This window comes from Homo sapiens, chromosome 9 (assembly GCF_000001405.40).
Source record: "Homo sapiens chromosome 9, GRCh38.p14 Primary Assembly".
Lineage (NCBI taxonomy): Eukaryota > Metazoa > Chordata > Mammalia > Primates > Hominidae > Homo > Homo sapiens.
Window position 1 is genome coordinate 13,139,086 of NC_000009.12, and position 18,869 is coordinate 13,157,954.

Here is an 18,869-nt window from a genome sequence, read left to right on the forward strand (position 1 = left end):
CCAGTCATCTTAGAAAACGTTATTATATGGCTAATGGGCCAATGCCATGCATTCTACATTGATTCTTAACTGCATCAATTTCATAAACTATTTCCTGACTCCTTCCACAATACAGCAGCACAACTTTTATGTTCTGTACTTCCTAAAAAGATGTACTACAGCTTTCTTAAAGGAAATAATTCGATTTTTAAAATAAAACTTTTTAAAACAATGACATTGATAACTTTGGGCTAAATTTTAAATATTTTCCTGCAAAATGGTATTTCCTTAGAAAAGAGAGACTCCCTATTGGTCCTAATAACAGCTGCCTATGAAAGACTGCTGGGCGCCAGGCACTGTGCTTAGCACTCTTGGCACTATCTAATTGAATGTTAGCAACCTGAGGGGAGAACTCCATTTTAAAAAGAGAGATAACCACTAGGCTAAAGCTTAGAGACAGTTAAACAGCTTAGTCAATGCCTAAAGTTTTTATCTCCACAATTATACTATGTCACCATTCTGGTATAGAAAATACACCAGAAGTTCAAGGTGTGATATCAACAACCAGAATATCCTCATTCACATGAGGAATCTGATGCCCAGAAAGGGGTGGTGACTTGTTTGAGACACAGAGTGGCTGATCCAATACTAGCTTCTGAGAGAGTGCCCTGTCCTTATTAATTCTCATACAAAAGGCAGAGTGAGCTTTAACAGCACTTTTAAAGGAAAGGAAGAGCATGATTTCATGCCTCAGGAATGTATGCTGTATTCAAGCAAAACAAACACTATTTCTTTCCACACAGAATTGCAGTATATATCACAAAGCTGCAACATACTTACTTATCCAGGGCGAAATCCTTGAGAAACTCAGAGCTATTTTAATACCTCTTACAATTAAATGCATCACAAAAACACAACTTACTCCAGCTGTAACCAAACTCATCCTCTTTGTCCACATCTTGTGAGATTTTGCTTGCAGATGACTGTGTGTGATCACTACCCATTTCGGCAAAGGCTGAAGGAGGGGGTGGGGGCACACTGCACAATGGAGCCTTCTCTGGCTCTGACTCTGACTGACTGGGTGCCTGTGGGAACAAAAAGAATGCAGTGGGTTTGTACAGTCTAAGGAAGAAAACTTCAAGAAGAAGAAATAAGAGTATACTGTCAAAAACAAAGACTGGCTTTAAAATATCTAACAAATAATGGAAAGCTCATATATGTATATAATATATATATAAAATATCTAACAAATAATGGAAAGCTCATATATATATATAATACCTAACAAATAATGGAAGGCTCAGATTGTTAAATATTTTATATATATACATATATATATATATATGTATATATATGAGCTTTCCATTATTTGTTTGATATTTTAAAGCCAGTCTTTGTTTTTGACATGATATTCTTATTTCCATATATATCTATGTATATATATAGATAGATAGATAGATATGAAATATTAGATGGGATTCAGGTAAAGTTTAAATATATCAAACCAAGTAGTATCAGAGAATAATTCACTAAACTTTTATTTGCTATTTTAAGCCAATGAATTAATGAATTTGAAGTCTTAAATGACTTGGTAGAAAATTGTACAAACTTTCCCTTCTAGAAAAAAATGTCATTCAAAAGTTATAACTTTTGGGTCTGGGTAAGATTTGAGGCATCTAGAAAAATCTGCCAAGAAACTGCAGAAAAAAAAATTAACAAAGAAGTTGCCCTTCAAAGCTTATTAGTGAGACTAAATATAAATAATTATTTATTGCTACCTGAATCCTCTCTCCATATGATTCTCTTAACAAATCCAGGACAGCAAGTATCACACATGCAGGCTTGTCTACCAGAGAGCCAGTTTGTTAGCACAGAGCACACACTCGGATGTGAGCGGCATGGTTTTAAGGACAACACCAGCTTTCCCTTGCCAAGGCAGATCACAAGATAAATGAGGAAACACAGGAGACTCCTTAATAGAAAGCCAAAGCATGGCATACTGGCTGTCACTTAGGGTCATAGGTCCTATTTCGAAAAAAAAAAAAAAAAGTACTTGGCATCATCAAGTTCTTATATTGCAAAAATAATTGCAGTTTTTGCCATTAAAACTCCAATTACTTTTGCACTAACCTAATGTTACAGATGATCAAACAATGTTAGAGTTTGAAAGGTCTTTAAGTTGCTGAGTTCATTTTATTCACTTTGCAGATGAATAAACCTTTGGAACCTGAGGCTACAAGAAATGAAAGTTTTTGTTTCGAATCAAACAGTGGTACTAGACTTCTTTTTGCTTAACTCTTAATCCAGTGCACTTTCCATTATATCATGTTGTCTCCTCCAACTTGCATAAATAAGACAGTACCAAACTCAAAGGTCAGGAACATCCAGCTAAAGTTCTAACCTCGGTATGAAGTTGTCCCTGATACCTTGAACCTATAGTTTTCCTATATATCTTTATTTTACTTTTTTACTGCATAAGAATTCCTCTGATACAATGTTTTATTATATATGTTTATATCTAGAAAAATATTATGATTTTTTTTAAAAAACTGACTTCTTGTAAGGATACATTAAATGATAAACACGCACAAATACTTAGAAATTATTAATTGGTGCCACGAATTAGGATACCTAAAAATATATGTAACACTAGAACTATTTGAGACTGAATGCGACCTTTCTTTGTTGATTCAGAAAGCACTCAATTTTCTGGCAAAGCAAATCGCTGACTGATAGAGATTTAAGGGCGTAAGTGTCAGATTACAGAATCTGCTATATTGAAATGTTCAGTCTATATGTCATTGGACAAACAGATAAAAGTTACTAATGTAAATGGAACCCTTGTTATGTTCCCAAATGCTGTGCCATAAATGTCTCAAATTAATAATATACCAATAAAAATGAACAAACACACACACATAAAACCCTCATTTGGTCCAATCAAGTTTCATTATCATAGTAAAGAGGAGCAAGGTATGTACTTTAGAATTTTTCTGGCTAAAAAAAATTTACTTCTCTGTAAAATTTTATCAAGCATTGATTAAGTCCATTCCCTTTTTAAAAGGTAAAACAAAAGCTAATTTAAACTTCTCATAATTTTAACAAATCTATAGATGACATTTTATACATCTTGCTGCATAATTTTTCTGAGCTGTTATTTTAAGAACAAACAAACAAACAAACAAAACCTGCTTATCTGAAAAATTGTCTGGGATCTCAGGCACAACATTTTCATACTGTGAGTAAATCAAAATGGTGCCCTAACCTACCTGACTAATAAAACCAATATAAGCCTCTATTTACTTGAGGGGCAATCAGGTGTTATGTTTTCATATCCCTGACACCCTCATTCTCATCAAGATCATGTATCTGCCTCGTTAGTGACACTTTTTAAAATTTATTTATGAAAATATAGCTCTTTAACAAAGATTGTTTAGCCTTCCTTGTCAAAAATGCAGTGTATACTTGAGATCACTCCATGCCATGTATGTATACATCAAGTACAGCACACACATAAAGCACACTGTAACACACCCACATACGAAAATTCCACACTGACACAAACCTTAAAGGGTGTGGGAGCAAAAGGGTTAGTTGGGGAACAATGGAAGATAATTCTACTTGAATTCAGTAATTCCTATAGCAATAGAAAACATATTCCTTCAGATATAGCATCTTTGGTTATCCATATCAATAACATGGTATTTGTTACAATAACATGGAAGTCTGATGAATATTCATAAAGTGTTTCCTGAAAAAAATTGTTGATGGCTTTCTTCCTTTTCATGATCAAATTATGGTATATAAATTCTTATAAATTTGTGTTTCGATTTTGGTTTTATAATTTCATCAGAAAATGAGAAGATCCAAGTATAGATTTACGAGCATTGAAACAGTTACGTTTCCTGATTCAGGCAATTACATGGGCATGCTTCATGAATATTCAACAGACTCCTGCATGTACACATACACAATTATTTGTGCAGTGATTAACTCATGGAAGAGCTTTTATGATCACCTTGTAGAAGTATGAAAAGGATTTAAATCAACACATGGTTTTAAAGAAATTATGTGTGAAAGTATCATACATTTGGCAACTAACAAAAATTTAAATATCAGAAATTTTAAATGACACCAAAATGAAAGAAAGGCACTGGACTCATGATTCTCCCTTACTCTTCAGAAGGGCCATTTAATTTCAGCAATAAAAATAAATATTCTCTGGCAGGAAAATGTGCTTAAGAAAGGATCTGCATGCCCACTCCAAACAGCTTTGTTTTTTTGTTTTTTTTTCCCTGCCCAAATGTAGCAAATAGTGAACTGGGACAAAGACACAGTAGTAACAAAGAACAAAACATTTGCAAAAGGCAACCAACAGCAAGACAATGGGCATTATCCAACCTTGTCGGCGTTGATTTGTAGAGAGTCAGCAAATGGGTTAGTGCTGCTGAAGTTGTACTTAGGGTAAAGGTTGTGCAGCAAGGAAGGCAAAGGGGATTTCTAAAAGGAAACATAAGAGGCGCTGAACGCAAAGGAAATGTATTGAAAACAACTCAGTTTTAAAAGCAAAGTACATACCGATTTAAAGAACTGCCTGTGTGAAACTAGATCCTATCAGATCCAGTCATTAATAGCAACATCTTAAAACAGTCTGGAACTAAAGATTTGTCTCTAATGACCTGAATCTATACCTGAGTCTAAATCAGGCCACAAACCACAAAGGAAACTAGTTGTCAAACTGATCCCAAATTTCTTTTATTTTTGCTCAATGTCTTCGGTATTACTAACAGAGGCACATATATTTTGCCCATCTTATATATTAATACATGTTTTATGAATACCAGTAAACATGTTCAAAATTAAAACCACAAAATTTTTTATCTACATCTAAAAGCTAATTTTTTTTAAATAATCTGTCTAGAATGCAAATTATAAATTGGTCTGCTAGTTCACTGGCAACCTTCATTATTCTTTTATTTTGCATCCTAGTAAGGAAACTTTCCATATTTTGACTGGATATTAAAGTGCTTCAGAGCAATTGTATTTTTTAAATTAAAAAAACAGTAATTTATTAAAAAATGAACTCCTGTAGAGTGGTGTTCTCTATTTCTGCCCAGTTTTTGTGGAGGTAGAAACATGGAGATTCATGTTTTAAATAAATTTCCTATAAAATTGCCCATATTACTGGAGAATTTATGAGGCTTTAGATAATATTTGAAGTCCTGCCTTAGAGTGTTTCTCAGAGGTTTTGTGGCTTGCCAGTAATAAGCCCTGAGCCAGACTGTTAGAGTTGAAAATACATATTAAAGTCAGGATGACTGCCAGATAGAATTTAGCATTTTCATAGTTTAAAAAAAAAAGTAATTTCCTTAGCACAATAAATTCTTCTCCTTCTTTTCACACCCGCTATCTTTTTCTTTTATTGACTATATCTTTCAGGGGAAATTGCAGACATTTAAAATTCATTTTGGCTCCAATTAAATGTTTGTGTTACTTTTCTCTATAAAAAAGCCCCACTGGCAGGCATCAAGTATAGGGAGAGGTTGTCATGTGACACCACGCTGTATGAGAGAACACTCTGGAAAGACTCTATCCTCAGTATGCCTGCACTAAAGCTTATGCCACATTACCCTTTCAATCTGCTCTTCTTGCAATGTTTTTCCTACAGAGGGAAGACAGGAAAAAGAAATGGGCACAATGACATTTCTGCTCATCTCAACTTTCTCCCTGCTTTTCAGTTTAAAATGTCAACTCCTGCTTTACAAAAGAGAAGATCACAAATACCAAGGCACATGACCATTTATTAACGTGGAAGAAATGACTAGGCAGAGGTGACAAATATATCCTAGGCAAAATAATTCAATGCTATGGAAGGTGGAGATTATTTCTAATCTCCATACATTGGACTTTCAGTGTCCTGTATAATTCTGTAGAACATCAGAAAACAAAACTAGCAACAAATTTAAAGAAAGCTCTAGTTTTTAAATTTTTATTACTTTTGCTTTCTTTTTAATTTGCAGATCTCAGAGGATTAGAATTTGGCCCTGATAGCAAAGTGTAAAAGTATAGCATAGGCACAGCAGACGAAATGGTAGATTACTCTATTATTAGGAAAAGATATTTAGAAACAGACTATTTCTTATTAAAAAACCAATGATGAAACTTCTGTTTATAGTCCCAGGGGCTGAGAAAAGCAGAAATATTAACAACGAAGAAGCACAGGGAAGACAAAAACATTCTCTGGCCCATTCTAAATGGGGCCCCCCTTTCAGTGAGAAAATGTGGTCAGACTGAATTCTGTGAAGGGTCATACTGGTGAAATTACCAGGGCTAGTTCTGGAAATTTCTGATTCTTGAAGAGCCTAAGGGCCAAAGCAACTCACTGGTTTTTCAGCTTATGTTTAAGATTTCCTAGGAGCTTTATCCTATATCTACAGATAACACAATTACCAGTAAGAGACTTTTAAGTATGTGCATTTGTGATTGTTCCTTTTAGATTACTGGAGACCTAATTATTTCCATAAGGAAGTAAATCATTGAAACAAAACATATCTCATTTTAAATGCAAAATTAACTTTAATTTTCTAAAGCAAAATAAGTATGACTTGACTAAACATGTCATTCATAACAAGATTTATCCTGGAACAATTGCTATAAAATCAGGTATCATTATACCTCAGAGAGCAAAATAAGAGTATTTTCCAGGTGTATGAGACAAGATCTTCCCGGCTCATTGGAAAATGTGCCTGACATTGAAAGGAATATTTGTAGTTTTAAGTTTTTAAAGCAATATTGAGAATCACTATTCAGCAATTTATAGTATTGTCCCAAATGATGTAAAAATTGTAAATTATAAATAAAACAAAAAAAGGACTAAAATCCACCCACACACAAAAAAAATAGCTTTAACTTAAACACCCATTTAACATTATTATGCTGTGTCTATGTTTAACACACAAATGGGAATAAATGTAAAAGGATTTATAGTTATTTAAACAAATGGAATAGCTTTGTAAAGAATGCAGCATGATGCAGCCCTACCATTTGGCAAATTTTCTTTCTGAATGGATAATTATTACCTAACAATAAACAACTGAATGATTAAAAATTGCAGATGTTGAAGTGCTTACATTAAAAACTACTAGATTCACTCTTTACAGTAAACCCAGACCACAGTTACACCTGTCTTCACAACAGAAGGAAGGGCCATTAAAATAAATCTGGTCACTTTACAGTCCATGGCATAGAATATTGATAAGTTACTTTGACAGAGCTCATCTAAAGAGCTGTTGGTTATTTTCATCATTTGAACCTTAACATCTTAAATTCTTAATTTCACAAGTTAAACTGAGCCCTTATATCTTAAATTCTTAACTTTACAAGTTAAAATTAAATATATTTTGCAGATAAAATTAAATATTTTAAGTTTTAGACGATGCGTTCAACTTCCCTCACATATGTTGATATTTTTGTTTTAAAGACAACCAACCCTAAAAACTAGTAAGCAGGAAATTCAAAGAGAATCACTATGATGGGGGTTGTTAACTTAAATCCAAAAAAGGAGTCTGTAAGTGCTTCAGGACATCTAGGAAATGGTATGCAATTTTTGAATGGATGTGTATGTTTCTAAAGAACTTTCAAAGGGGTATGTGAATCCAAAATACTTAATAACTGCTGCATGTGAATTTTTTTTTTCATGAGGCATAAAGAAGGAGTTGAAAAAACAGTTTTAAACTCTTGGCATAATTTTCATCTTCAGCATCAAGTCATAACAAATCCAAAGCCTCGCTCTGTATCTTTGTTAACAACATTCATTAAATGTAACTTACATTTTCTAAAATGTTTTTTAATGCTATTTTACCTGTGGTGACTGATGGCAAAACGGGTTGGTAGGTTTCTGTCCACCAACAGCTATACAGTGATGAAGAGCTATACAGTGATGTGGCTAGAGTACAGCAATGATGAAATCACTTGTAAACAAACCAAATCTGCCCTGAGCAAATTTAACGTTCAGTGGGATACACAAATACATGAACGATCATTCACAGATGATTATGGGATTGCATAAGTAGGAGATTCTGTCTAGAGAATAAATTTCAAGAAAATGTCATTTCTTTGGTTTCTAAGGGGCTCCACTAGAGATCACAGATGATTAACCTGAATTATGATGCCACATTCCTTTTAATAACTTGTGTATTTTGTGATTAAAATGAATACTAATAATTAACCATCTAGATACCTAGAGATACTGATAAATCTACTTCTGTGTATATTCAACAGACCTCAAAAGTCTTTATTAAACATGGTGGAAGGGATTTCCAGGATAACTCAATTTCTGAGAAAGCAAAACAAACTTCTAACAAGTCTCCTGAGATTTGAAAAATCACTATCTTTACTCATACAGACAACTTGGCCCTTGATACATTAGATTCCAAGTTGAACACTGTTTGGATATGCCTACCTTGCCCTTTGTGTTCGCTTACCCTTGGTCTGTTTATAATGCTCTGTACCATAAAGACTACAGGGTTGCCTGCTTTCCGAATGGCTTCCACAGCTTGTTCATGGCTTGCATCTCTGAGGTCCATTCCATCCACCTGCAATGGAAGGCCTCAGCTTAACATTTCAAGAATCTATAGAACAACAAAAAAATGTGTGGATATGGAGTTTTAGGGATACTTGGTTAGACTCCTAGAAAATCTGTTTTAATATCAAAAATAATTGAGACTACATGTGAAGCTGCAGAACTTTCTGTCTGTCCAGCAGACTTGTGGTCCCTTGCTTTGGACACATATCTCTGTCTCCAATAATCAGTTCAAGACATAATCAATTGAAATGAAGGCTCTGCTTCTGCACTCCTTACATTGCTCAGCTGCTCCTTTAAATTAAAAAAATCAGTATCATTAACAAAATTATATGAGGGAACTATCTAGCAGCACTGTCTTCATCATGAAAGTCACTGTACTAATTTTCTTCTAATTGACTATAGGGTGGTTTGGGAAGTAAGGGGTGATGCCTTGTATAATTTTCTCTGTACAGGGAAGCTTGAAGTTCAAAACAAAATTCTGATATCCAGAAAAATCAGATAATGGTAAGGTTAGTTTTGCAAAAGAATCCTTGCAGTAGATATGACAGGAGCTGGAAGCTAAGAAATTGTGTTTATTTGTTAGTAATTCTTATATAGTTTGACAATGAAAGTTATTTTGTAAATTTTATTGATCATGGTTTGCCTGAGTATTGATCAACTCAGCTTACACACTTTATGAATAAGAAGGAAAATAGTTTAAAAGGCCAAATGCTAATTCTGTCAGAAAACTATAGGATGTTAGTATCATTTTATCATTTCCAATTACCATGTTATGATATATACAACAAAAGAGTAAACCCAGAGTGGACACAACTCTAGAAAAGAACATTATTAGATCTTTGCATAGAACATTATTATCTTTAAAAGAATTATATAGATTTAGATAAAAACCTCCCTCAGGTTGATACTTAGATGACAATATTTTTTTCAGTGCATATTAAAATAGCTTCTAACTTTTTTGTAGAACAAAAGTCAGTATTCACATCTACCATATGTCTACTATATATTCCATTCGTGGAAAAATTTAAAAGGATGTTAATTATCTTTGCTCAAGACCAAAGTATTCCAAATTTGCAGATCTGCACTCACCTAGTCTATATACATTTTGAGAAACTCTTAGCAGAGACACGCTTTAGAATCCTCAGGATTACAGAGGACTGAGGCTTCCTACATACTAGAAAAGCCCTTGCAATATGGCACAAATCATTGCTAAATTGCATACAGTATTTTAAAACGCACAAAAAAGTTCTTTCTTTTCCATTTCAAAGGTGAACTTTAACTTTTTAAATATATTTAAACAACATTTGAGAGCAAATTATGACCATTCTTGTCTACAAAAAAAAAAAAATCTCTTTTGCTATTTAGGTCAAAGGTATTTAATAGTGAGGTATGCATAAAATAAACTTCTTAGTGACAATCCAAAATTTGAAATTTTAGGTAGTGTCCTAAATAAAAGAGTTCGTTAAAAGGGGTCTAAGGTATCATCTAATGAAAGAATGCAGGAGAGAGAAAAAGCCTATCACTCTTCCTTATAAACGGTCATCAAAAAAAAAAGGACATGGTCCCTGTTTTCGCTCAGGTCCCAATCTTCTTCCGTCTAAGGCTCTCAAAGACAGCCAGTCAATGAAGGAATCAATCAGTCATCAAAACGTGCATTTAAAGTCATGGTTGATATGTTATAATCTTCTTCTAAACAAAGTCTTCCAGTGTGTAAGTTATATGGGTTTAGAAAATGAGAGTCACTTGTATAAAGTAAATATAATGGTCATTACAGTGGTAATAAAATTGTCTTTATTTGCAAGTTGTCTCTTTTAGTCTACTCTGTAAATCCTGAAAACTCAGAAAATCTAGGTCAGGTACTCCTTTCTCTATCCTTCTAAATAAAATTATGCTTATCCCAATGAAATAATTTATCACACTGTTCTGAAGTGACTTGATTACTTGTCAAGTCTGTCCCACTTGGCAGGCAGGCACAGTGCCTTGTTTACTGTGGGATGCCCAGAGCCTGTTATAGCACCTGGAATGCAACAGCTGTTCCAGGAATATTTGTTGAGTAAATGAGTGAGTGACTTATGAGAGGAGAGTCTATTTAAAATATTGAACTTTGCTTTGAATTAAGAGATTACACACAACTTGACATGCTTCTAACACATAACAAAATGCACATACATGTGCACACACATGCACACAGGCACACATACAGAGCCTTCATTGATGAATGAACACAGCACTGAAAAGGAGCGAGATCCTGGCTTCGACTGAGAAGGATTTACATGAAAGGTAACTGAGGTGTCAGCATTAAATATTTTACTAAAAAAGACTCACTTGGAAAAAAAAAACTCATCCAACAAAGTTTATCTGCAATGAAATGATAATAAAGTACTTATTGAAATAAAATCTCATTAACTTAATTATATCTACATTTTTGTGTGTACATATACATATATTGTATGTCTAATGTAATCTTAATTCAAAATTTTTCCCTGAGAATTGTGCTTTGTTCTTTCAAACAGAACATAATTATTTTACCTTGGAGCCATTTTTTTTTAAATGGTTGGCTTTATCTCCAAACATCAGTCTCTATATCAAAACATATAATCTGTCATTATATACATAAGAGAAAATTACGTATGAAAATAAACAAATAAGAAAGAAATAATTTATCCACACACACATTTTACTCGAATGCTGGGTTGAGTAACTAGTATGAAGATGACAATTCCCTCGGTACAAAGGGTGGAGCAGGTGAAAAATTTTAGCACATGTACCCTAAAACTTAAAGTATAATAATAGTAAAATTAAAAAATAAATAAATAAAACAAAACAAACAAATTTTAGCACAGAAAGCTCACTAGAGGGTACCTCTACGATTCTATCTCCAGGTTTCAAGGTTCCATTTTTGCCAGCTGGACTATCTTCCAGAACATGTTTGATGAAAATGCCCCTCATCACTTCTCCATTGCTTAGCCGACTCCCCATCCCTCGTCCACCAACAATGCTGATGCCTAAGGATTTGCTTGGTTCTCTCCAGAGTTCCACCCTAAAAAATAAATAAAATTTTCAACTCTTAGGAAAAATCATAAGGGTAAAGCTTCATGATGCTGAATTTGGCAATGATTTCTTATATATAACACCAAAGGCACAGAGAACAAAAGAAAAAATAGATAAAATGTACTTTATCAAAATTAAAAACTTCTGTTCATCAAATGATACTCTCAATAGAGTAAAAAGGCAACCAACGGAAAGGAAAAAAGTATCTGCTAATAACATATCTGATAAGAGATTCATAAGCTGAATACAAAGGGAACTTCTAAAACTCAACAACAACAAAAAAACAAGTGGTATAAAACATGGGCAAGTGTCTTGAAGATACATAAATGACCAATAAGCACATGAAAAGATGTTTAACATCACTAAATATTATGGAAATACAAATCAAAAGCACAGTAAGATACCATCTCACATCCAACAGGATGGCTACTACCTACTAAAAACACACACACACACACACACAAATTAACAAGAATGCAGAGCGTGTGAAACCCTTGTGTACTGTTGGTAGAAATGTAAAATCGTGTAGCTGCTATGGAAAAGAGTATATAGGTTCCTCAAAAAATTAAAAATAGAATTATCATATGATTCAGCAATTCCACTTGTGGGTATTATACCCAAAATAATTCAAAGCAGGATCTCAAAGAAATATTTATACACCCATGTTCACAATAGTCAAGAGGTAGAAGCAAACCAATTATCTATCAAGAAATGAGTAGATAAAATACTATATACATTCAATATTATTCATCCTTTAAAAATGAAATTCTGAAACATACCATAATATGAATAAACCTTGAAGACATTATGCTAAGTGAAGTTAAGTCATCTAAGTAAAATAAAGGACAAATGTCATTTAATTTCACTCATATAAAGTACCTAGAGGTACCAAATTCATAGAGACAGAAAGTAGAATGGTGGTTGCCTGGGATGGGAAGAGACAAGAAAGGGGAGTTATTGCTTAATGGGTATGGAATTACAGTTTTGCAAGATGAAAAAAGTTCTGTAGCTAGACGGTGGTGGTGACTGTAGAGCAATGTGAATGTACTTATGCCACTGAACTGTACACTTACAAATGGTTAGGATGGCTTAAAATAATAATAAAAATATTTTAACACAATGGAATAAAATGTCATATATGTTAATTTTTACAAATATTACTTTGCTCAATTTATTAAGGTTTTACTAGTAGTAAAACAAAGATAGTTTAAAATACCTTCTCAATTATGTGTCTTATAGAATCTGATATTAATGTATTTCTGAAAATGATTTGTTATAAGTAAAACTGGACTCATACTCCAGGCTGTGGCACATACCAGTGTAAAAGGATGATTTTACAGGATCTTAGTATTACATATATTAAGTAATCAAAAAAATCAGCTACTGCTAAACAGATAGCAGCTTCTAAGCTTAGCAACCAAATCAAGGGAAAGAACACTCCTGCACACACTATGTCACAAACCCACCTCTGTAGAAGGAGAAGTCATTCTTGCCAAGGCAGACCTGGTCACTAACAGTCAAGACATGAAGAGCAGTGACTGCCAAAATCCTACAGGATATGATTCTCTCACTACCTCCCTAACCTCCCCTGCTGATATGGTTTGGCTGTGTCCTCACCCAAATCTCAATTTAAACTGTAGCTCCCACAATTCCCACGTATTGTTGGTGGGACCCGGTGGGAGGTAATTGAATCATGGGGGCAGGTCTTTCCTGTGCTTTTCTCATGATAGTGAATAAGTCTCATGAGATCTGATAGTTTTATAAAGGGGAGTTTCCCAGTACAAGCTCTCTTCTCTTGTCTGCCACCATGTGAGATGTGTCTTTCACCTTCCACCATGATTGTGAGGCCTCCCAAGTCACGTGGAACTGTGAGTCCATTAAACCTCTTTCTTTTGTAAATTCCCCAGTCTCGGGGTACGTCTATATCAGCAGCATGAAAACGGACTAATATACCTGCCATGGGCTCTGTACTTTCCTCTCTCCACTCTAGCTACCACATCATCTCCTTACTATTCCTTAAGTTCATCTGGTATGCTCCCGCCTTGGGGCCTCGGTGCTTGCTAATTCCTCTGTCTTGAACACATTTCCTATACCCACAAAATAAAGACATGAATTCATATGTAATAACTGCAAATAGCTGTAAGCGCTATGAGTATATTTAAAGCACATACATCTTGTGAAAAAGCAGGATGTAAGAAAGAGTAAGGTGATTTGCAGTGAGGTCTTTGGCCTAGATGAGTCAGAGTTCAGGGTGTTGGAGGAAAATCGACGAAACAGAACTTTAAGGAGATGATGAGACCCTGCAATCTGCTCCATGCTGCACAAAGGAAGACAATGTTGGACATTAAGTAGGATAAGACAGCATTGTCAAACATGTCTTCAACACTGACATTTAAGGAGTTCCTAGAGAAGAGGAAAGGTTGAAGTAAGGAATCCTGCAAAATGATTGAGGTAAGAAGAGGCTGGGAATGAAAGAGCACCACAAAGAGGAAAGGATGGGAACCAGCTGAAATGAAAGCAGACACTGAGGCACATCTTCCTTTGGCCAGTAACTCTTTTTCTTGACTGCAAATCTATAACTCTAGAAACTCTACCTGTTTAGTTTAAAACGACCTTACCATGATCCTTGATCTTATAAAATTTTTGTGAATAAAATAGTTAAAATCCCATTCATTGTTTTCTCTTACTCCAGAAATTCTGTGACAGAAAAGAACCAACATCCACCATCCTTCCCTATTTTTGTTTGTTTTTGTTTTTGTTTTGAGACAGGGTCTCATTCTGCAGCCCAGTCTGGAGTGCAGTGGCATGATCATAGTCCACTGCAGCCTTGACTTTCAACCTCAATGTCCTGGGCTCAGGAACTCCTAAGCTCAAGTAATCTTCCCATCTCAGCCTCCCTAAGTGCTGAGATTATAGGCATGAGCCACCACAACTGTCCCTTCCCTGTTTTCTTAAAGCAGTTCCTAAGGCAAAGTGGCAAATGAGTTAGTAAGTTTAGCCATTGTACATATAGTACATTTTACATATAGTAAGTTCAGCCACAAGTGTAAATATTTAACAACCCAGAATACATAGGTAGGACTCCTTAACTCTTTTCTTAAGAATAAAAAATAAAATAAAATAAAAAAGAAAGAAGGAAAGAAAATGTCTCCAAGGGCTCTTTATGTTTGGTGCAAATTAGAAAGTGATTCTTATGACTTCTTGAGTAATACAGAAAACATAAGTAACAGCAAATGTTTATTAAGGGTTGTACCATGTCCTCAGTATTATTCTCTGAGTAAGTTACATATACTTTCATTTAATTTTCACATCATACCTATAAGGTAGACATTCTTACTGGCCCCATTTTACAAAGAAGAGAAGAGACACAGAGAGGTTAAGTAACCTTTGGATAATAGCACCTTTGCTCTCATAGGGTTTGGCACAGATAGCAAAATACCCTCCCTGGAAGTAAAGGTTGTAAATCCTTAAAACAATGAAGAAGGTAATCAAAGACAGAACTGCCAAAATGACACAGTAATGAGAAACCAGACTCATTTATTCACTGAACAGACAATAGAAACACAGTGAAAGAAAAAGGAGGCCTAGAAAAGAAACTACAGAATATGTTCATTTCAGAGATCGTTATGTAGGGAAAAAAAAGGCAGCCTATTTGAGTTTTATACATAGGTTTAAAAAGAATGAAATTCAGGAAGACACAGGTAAAACACAGCTCTGAGGCCAGACTGCCTGAGCTGTGAACTGAGTCTCTGGGTTCCAGTCCTGCTCTTTTGCTACTTAATGATTATGTGACACAGGGCATTTATTTAGTCTCTGTCTTACTTTCCTCAGCTGTGAAATACAGCCAACAAGAGTCTCTACACAGAGTTTCTGTGAGGATTAATTAATACATGTAGGGTCCAAAACAAAAGCTTTGGCACATAATAAGCAATTGATAAATCTTTTATTACTAGTTATGATGGTGGTGGTTGTGGTGGTGATGAAGGTGATGATTACTGCAGTAATGAAAGCAAGATATGAAACTGAAACTCAATCCATACAACAAATGAGCAAATGTTCACCCTATCTGATCAATCCTGTTATACCTACCACACCTTGTTTATTGAGAAAGAGTACCATTTTCCACCCATTAGATTGACAAAAAACTTTTTAAAAAATGATCATATGATGTGGTAACAAGAATGTGGGGAAAAGGGAACATTCATATATTGGAAATAGAAATAAAAATTGGTATAGCAGCCAGGTGTGGTAGCTCATGCCTGTAATCCCAGCACTTTGGGAAGCCAAGGCAGGTGGATCATGAGGTCAAGAAATCGAGACCATCCTGGCCAACACGGTGAAACCCCATCTTTACTAAAAATACAAAAATTAGCTGGGCATGGTGGTGCGCACCTGTAGTCCCACCTACTTAGGAGGCTGAGGCAGGAGAATTCGCTCTAACCTGGGAGGCAGAGGTTGCAGTGAGCCAGGATCGTGCCACTGCATTCCAGCCTGGCAACAGAGTGAGACTCTGTCTCAGAAAAATAATAATAATAATTGGTATAGCAACCTTAAAAAGCAATTTGACAACTGAAAGTAAAAAATGCATATAAACTTACAGGCCAGCAATTCCAATTCCACTTCTGGATATATTCCCTAGATAAATTTTCATGTGTAAGTATAAAGAAATAAATATATTTACTGAACAGAATTATTATAATAGCAAATAACTATTAACTATCTAATATGAATCTGACAATGAATAAACTATGGTATATTCACATATTGAAATGCAACACAACAACTAAATTGAATGAATTAGATCTTTAAGTATCAAGCTTGATAGATTTACAAAACGTCAAGAATTGAGAGAAAAATTAAGCAAAATGGAAAATAATACATGTAGTAGTATATCAATTGTGTAAAATGAAAATCACATGCAAAATAAAATACAGCCCATTTTATAATCTTAAAATTTATATTTTGCTAAAAATTCTCTATTTTCATACAAAGTACATTTTTGTTGATTTCATGAATGACTGTCCCATCATGTTTTCAATGCTATGAACCATGTTCACAACACTAACTCCTAATTTATTAAAAGCTCTGGTTACTCCATTAAGCTTTCTTCTCATGTTCTATGAACTTCCCCTAGAAGTAGCTTAGTGAATCTAGGAGAACCACTACACTAGTGAGTACAGAGTACCTTCTTAGAAGGATTTATGGAATCTTTGGAGGTATTCTTCACGTAAGGTTGTTAGCACCTTTAGAGCTATCTTAGGATTGCATGAAGGTTAAAAGCATAAAAATTTTCCAGTCCAGAAGTTATGTTCTTCTTTCTCATAAGAAAATTTCATGATTTCTGTGTCAAAGGCTTTCTCTTTGCTTAGGTACCAGTGACAAATATTTTATCAATATAGACAAAGCCAACCACTGACTCACTATGTGCCAGGCACTCTGCTAAGGATTTTAGATGACACTGAATTTTCCCCCAAATTCAAAAGATTCTATTATTAACCTCATTTTACAGATAAAGTAGCAGAGACCTAGCAGAGATTAAGAAACTTGTCTTAGAAAGTATCAGAGCCAAAATCCTAACATGGCTCTTACTGACACCAACCATTTTGCATACTGCCTTCTGTATTAATCCTTTTTCATGCTGCTGATAAAGAAATACCTGAGACTGGGCAATTTACAAAAGAAGGAGGTTTATTGTACTTACAGTTCCACATGGCTGGGGAAGCCTCACAATCATGACAGAGGCAAGGAGGAGCAAGTCACATCTTATGTGGATGGCAGCAGGCAAATAAAAGAGCTTGTGCAGGGCAACTCCCGTTTTTAAAACCATCAGGTCTCCTGAGGCCCATTTACTATCAGGAGAACAGCATGGGAAAGACCTGCCCCCATATTCAATCTCCCACAGGGCCCCTTCCACAACATGTGGGAATTATGGGAGCTACAAGATGAGATTTGGGTGGGGACACAGAGCCAAACTATATCACCTTCTAAAATCTACTTTTCCTCTCATAATATTGTTACTAAAACTGACCAACCTATCTTTTTTTCCTGTGATTACTGTCCTCCTAAAAAATTCAAGTTTATCACTATGACTACCTGCTACAAAACAGTTTCATTTAACTTATTTCTACCTCTATCCACAAATAAATAAGACACTTAACACCTCAGAATATATTTTCTGCCACAGATCTAGCACTTATACCCTGTTCTCAATGTAGGCAGCACTATAGAGAGCTTGGGATTTTTTAAGTGAGTTAAGTGACTTTTGATGAAATTCAAATAAGAAATTCATGTTAGATGGCTGGAAATACATGCTGCTTCTTTGAAAGCAACATAAAATAGTGTTTTTTATATTTTAAAAATATTTAAATGTGATGGCTGCAGGTTATCACTGGTGGGCAGGGGACGTCATTAAATTGCACTGGCATTTACGAATATTACAAATTCTTCTCTTGAGCATTTTATTTATTCACTATGTAACAAATATTAATGTTTACTGAACACAAAGCATCACATTGTGATGGTGACCTTTAGGTCTGTTTGGGGTGGATGTCCACTGATTACCTATGTTTTACTCTTAAGGTGAAATACCTTGTGTTCTTAAATTGTTTCATGTGTCTCTACATCTTGCCCAGCCAAGTACATTAGAGGTTCCTTGAGGCAGGATTTGCATCTTCTATTTATTTCCTTGTTATTCACAAAATCATTGGCTTTAAGTCTAGGTCCATAATCAGGACTCAGTAAATTCCTATTAAACTAAAGTTGATTTTACTCAGCATAAACACATCAGTATGTTTTAGTGATGCACGTGATACATCTAAGTATATTTGAGGATGTCATCTTATCTATTATACATGAAACTGGTGCTAGACAGATTATGACTTAGGATAAACTCAGCCTGTGGTAACAAGGCTATGAGGGTACTTTTACACACAAACACACACACACACACACACGTTCTGAATATATATGTTTGCCTATCTAGTTTCTACAAATGCTAGGTAAAATTTAAATGAATACTTTTTGGTATACCTAAGATAAAACTCTACAGAACGTATTATCCATTCCAACTACCTATGAATAATTTTCTTTAATTTAGTCCCTACTATGTGCCAGATATCTCCATATATGTTAGTTTTAACCCTGTGTGATACACATTATTCTCTCCACTGTATACATTAAAAAATGATGGGTTAGAAGTATTAAACAACTCACCCGATATAACAAGAAGCAAGTTGTAATCCAGTACTTGAAACCA

The 18,869-nt window shown here is 34.7% G+C and overlaps 1 protein-coding gene across 57 annotated transcripts in view; it reads right to left on the reverse strand.

The window, feature by feature from the left end:
- Positions 1 to 18,869, reverse strand: part of MPDZ (multiple PDZ domain crumbs cell polarity complex component) — a 173,986-nt gene that overhangs the window by 33,379 nt on the left and 121,738 nt on the right. For 22 of the 57 annotated variants that reach the window (XM_047424033.1, XM_017015252.2, XM_006716888.4 and 19 more), the window contains 4 exons: positions 11,426 to 11,603; positions 8,463 to 8,573; positions 4,381 to 4,479; positions 902 to 1,064 (listed from right to left, as the gene is read on the reverse strand). In XM_047424033.1, coding sequence (XP_047279989.1) covers positions 902 to 1,064; positions 4,381 to 4,479; positions 8,463 to 8,573; positions 11,426 to 11,603 — 551 coding nt within the window. The remainder of the gene's footprint in view (positions 1 to 901; positions 1,065 to 4,380; positions 4,480 to 8,462; positions 8,574 to 11,425; positions 11,604 to 18,869) is intronic. The other 35 variants (NM_001375419.1, NM_001375416.1, XM_047424035.1 and 32 more) reach the window with 2 other exon arrangements.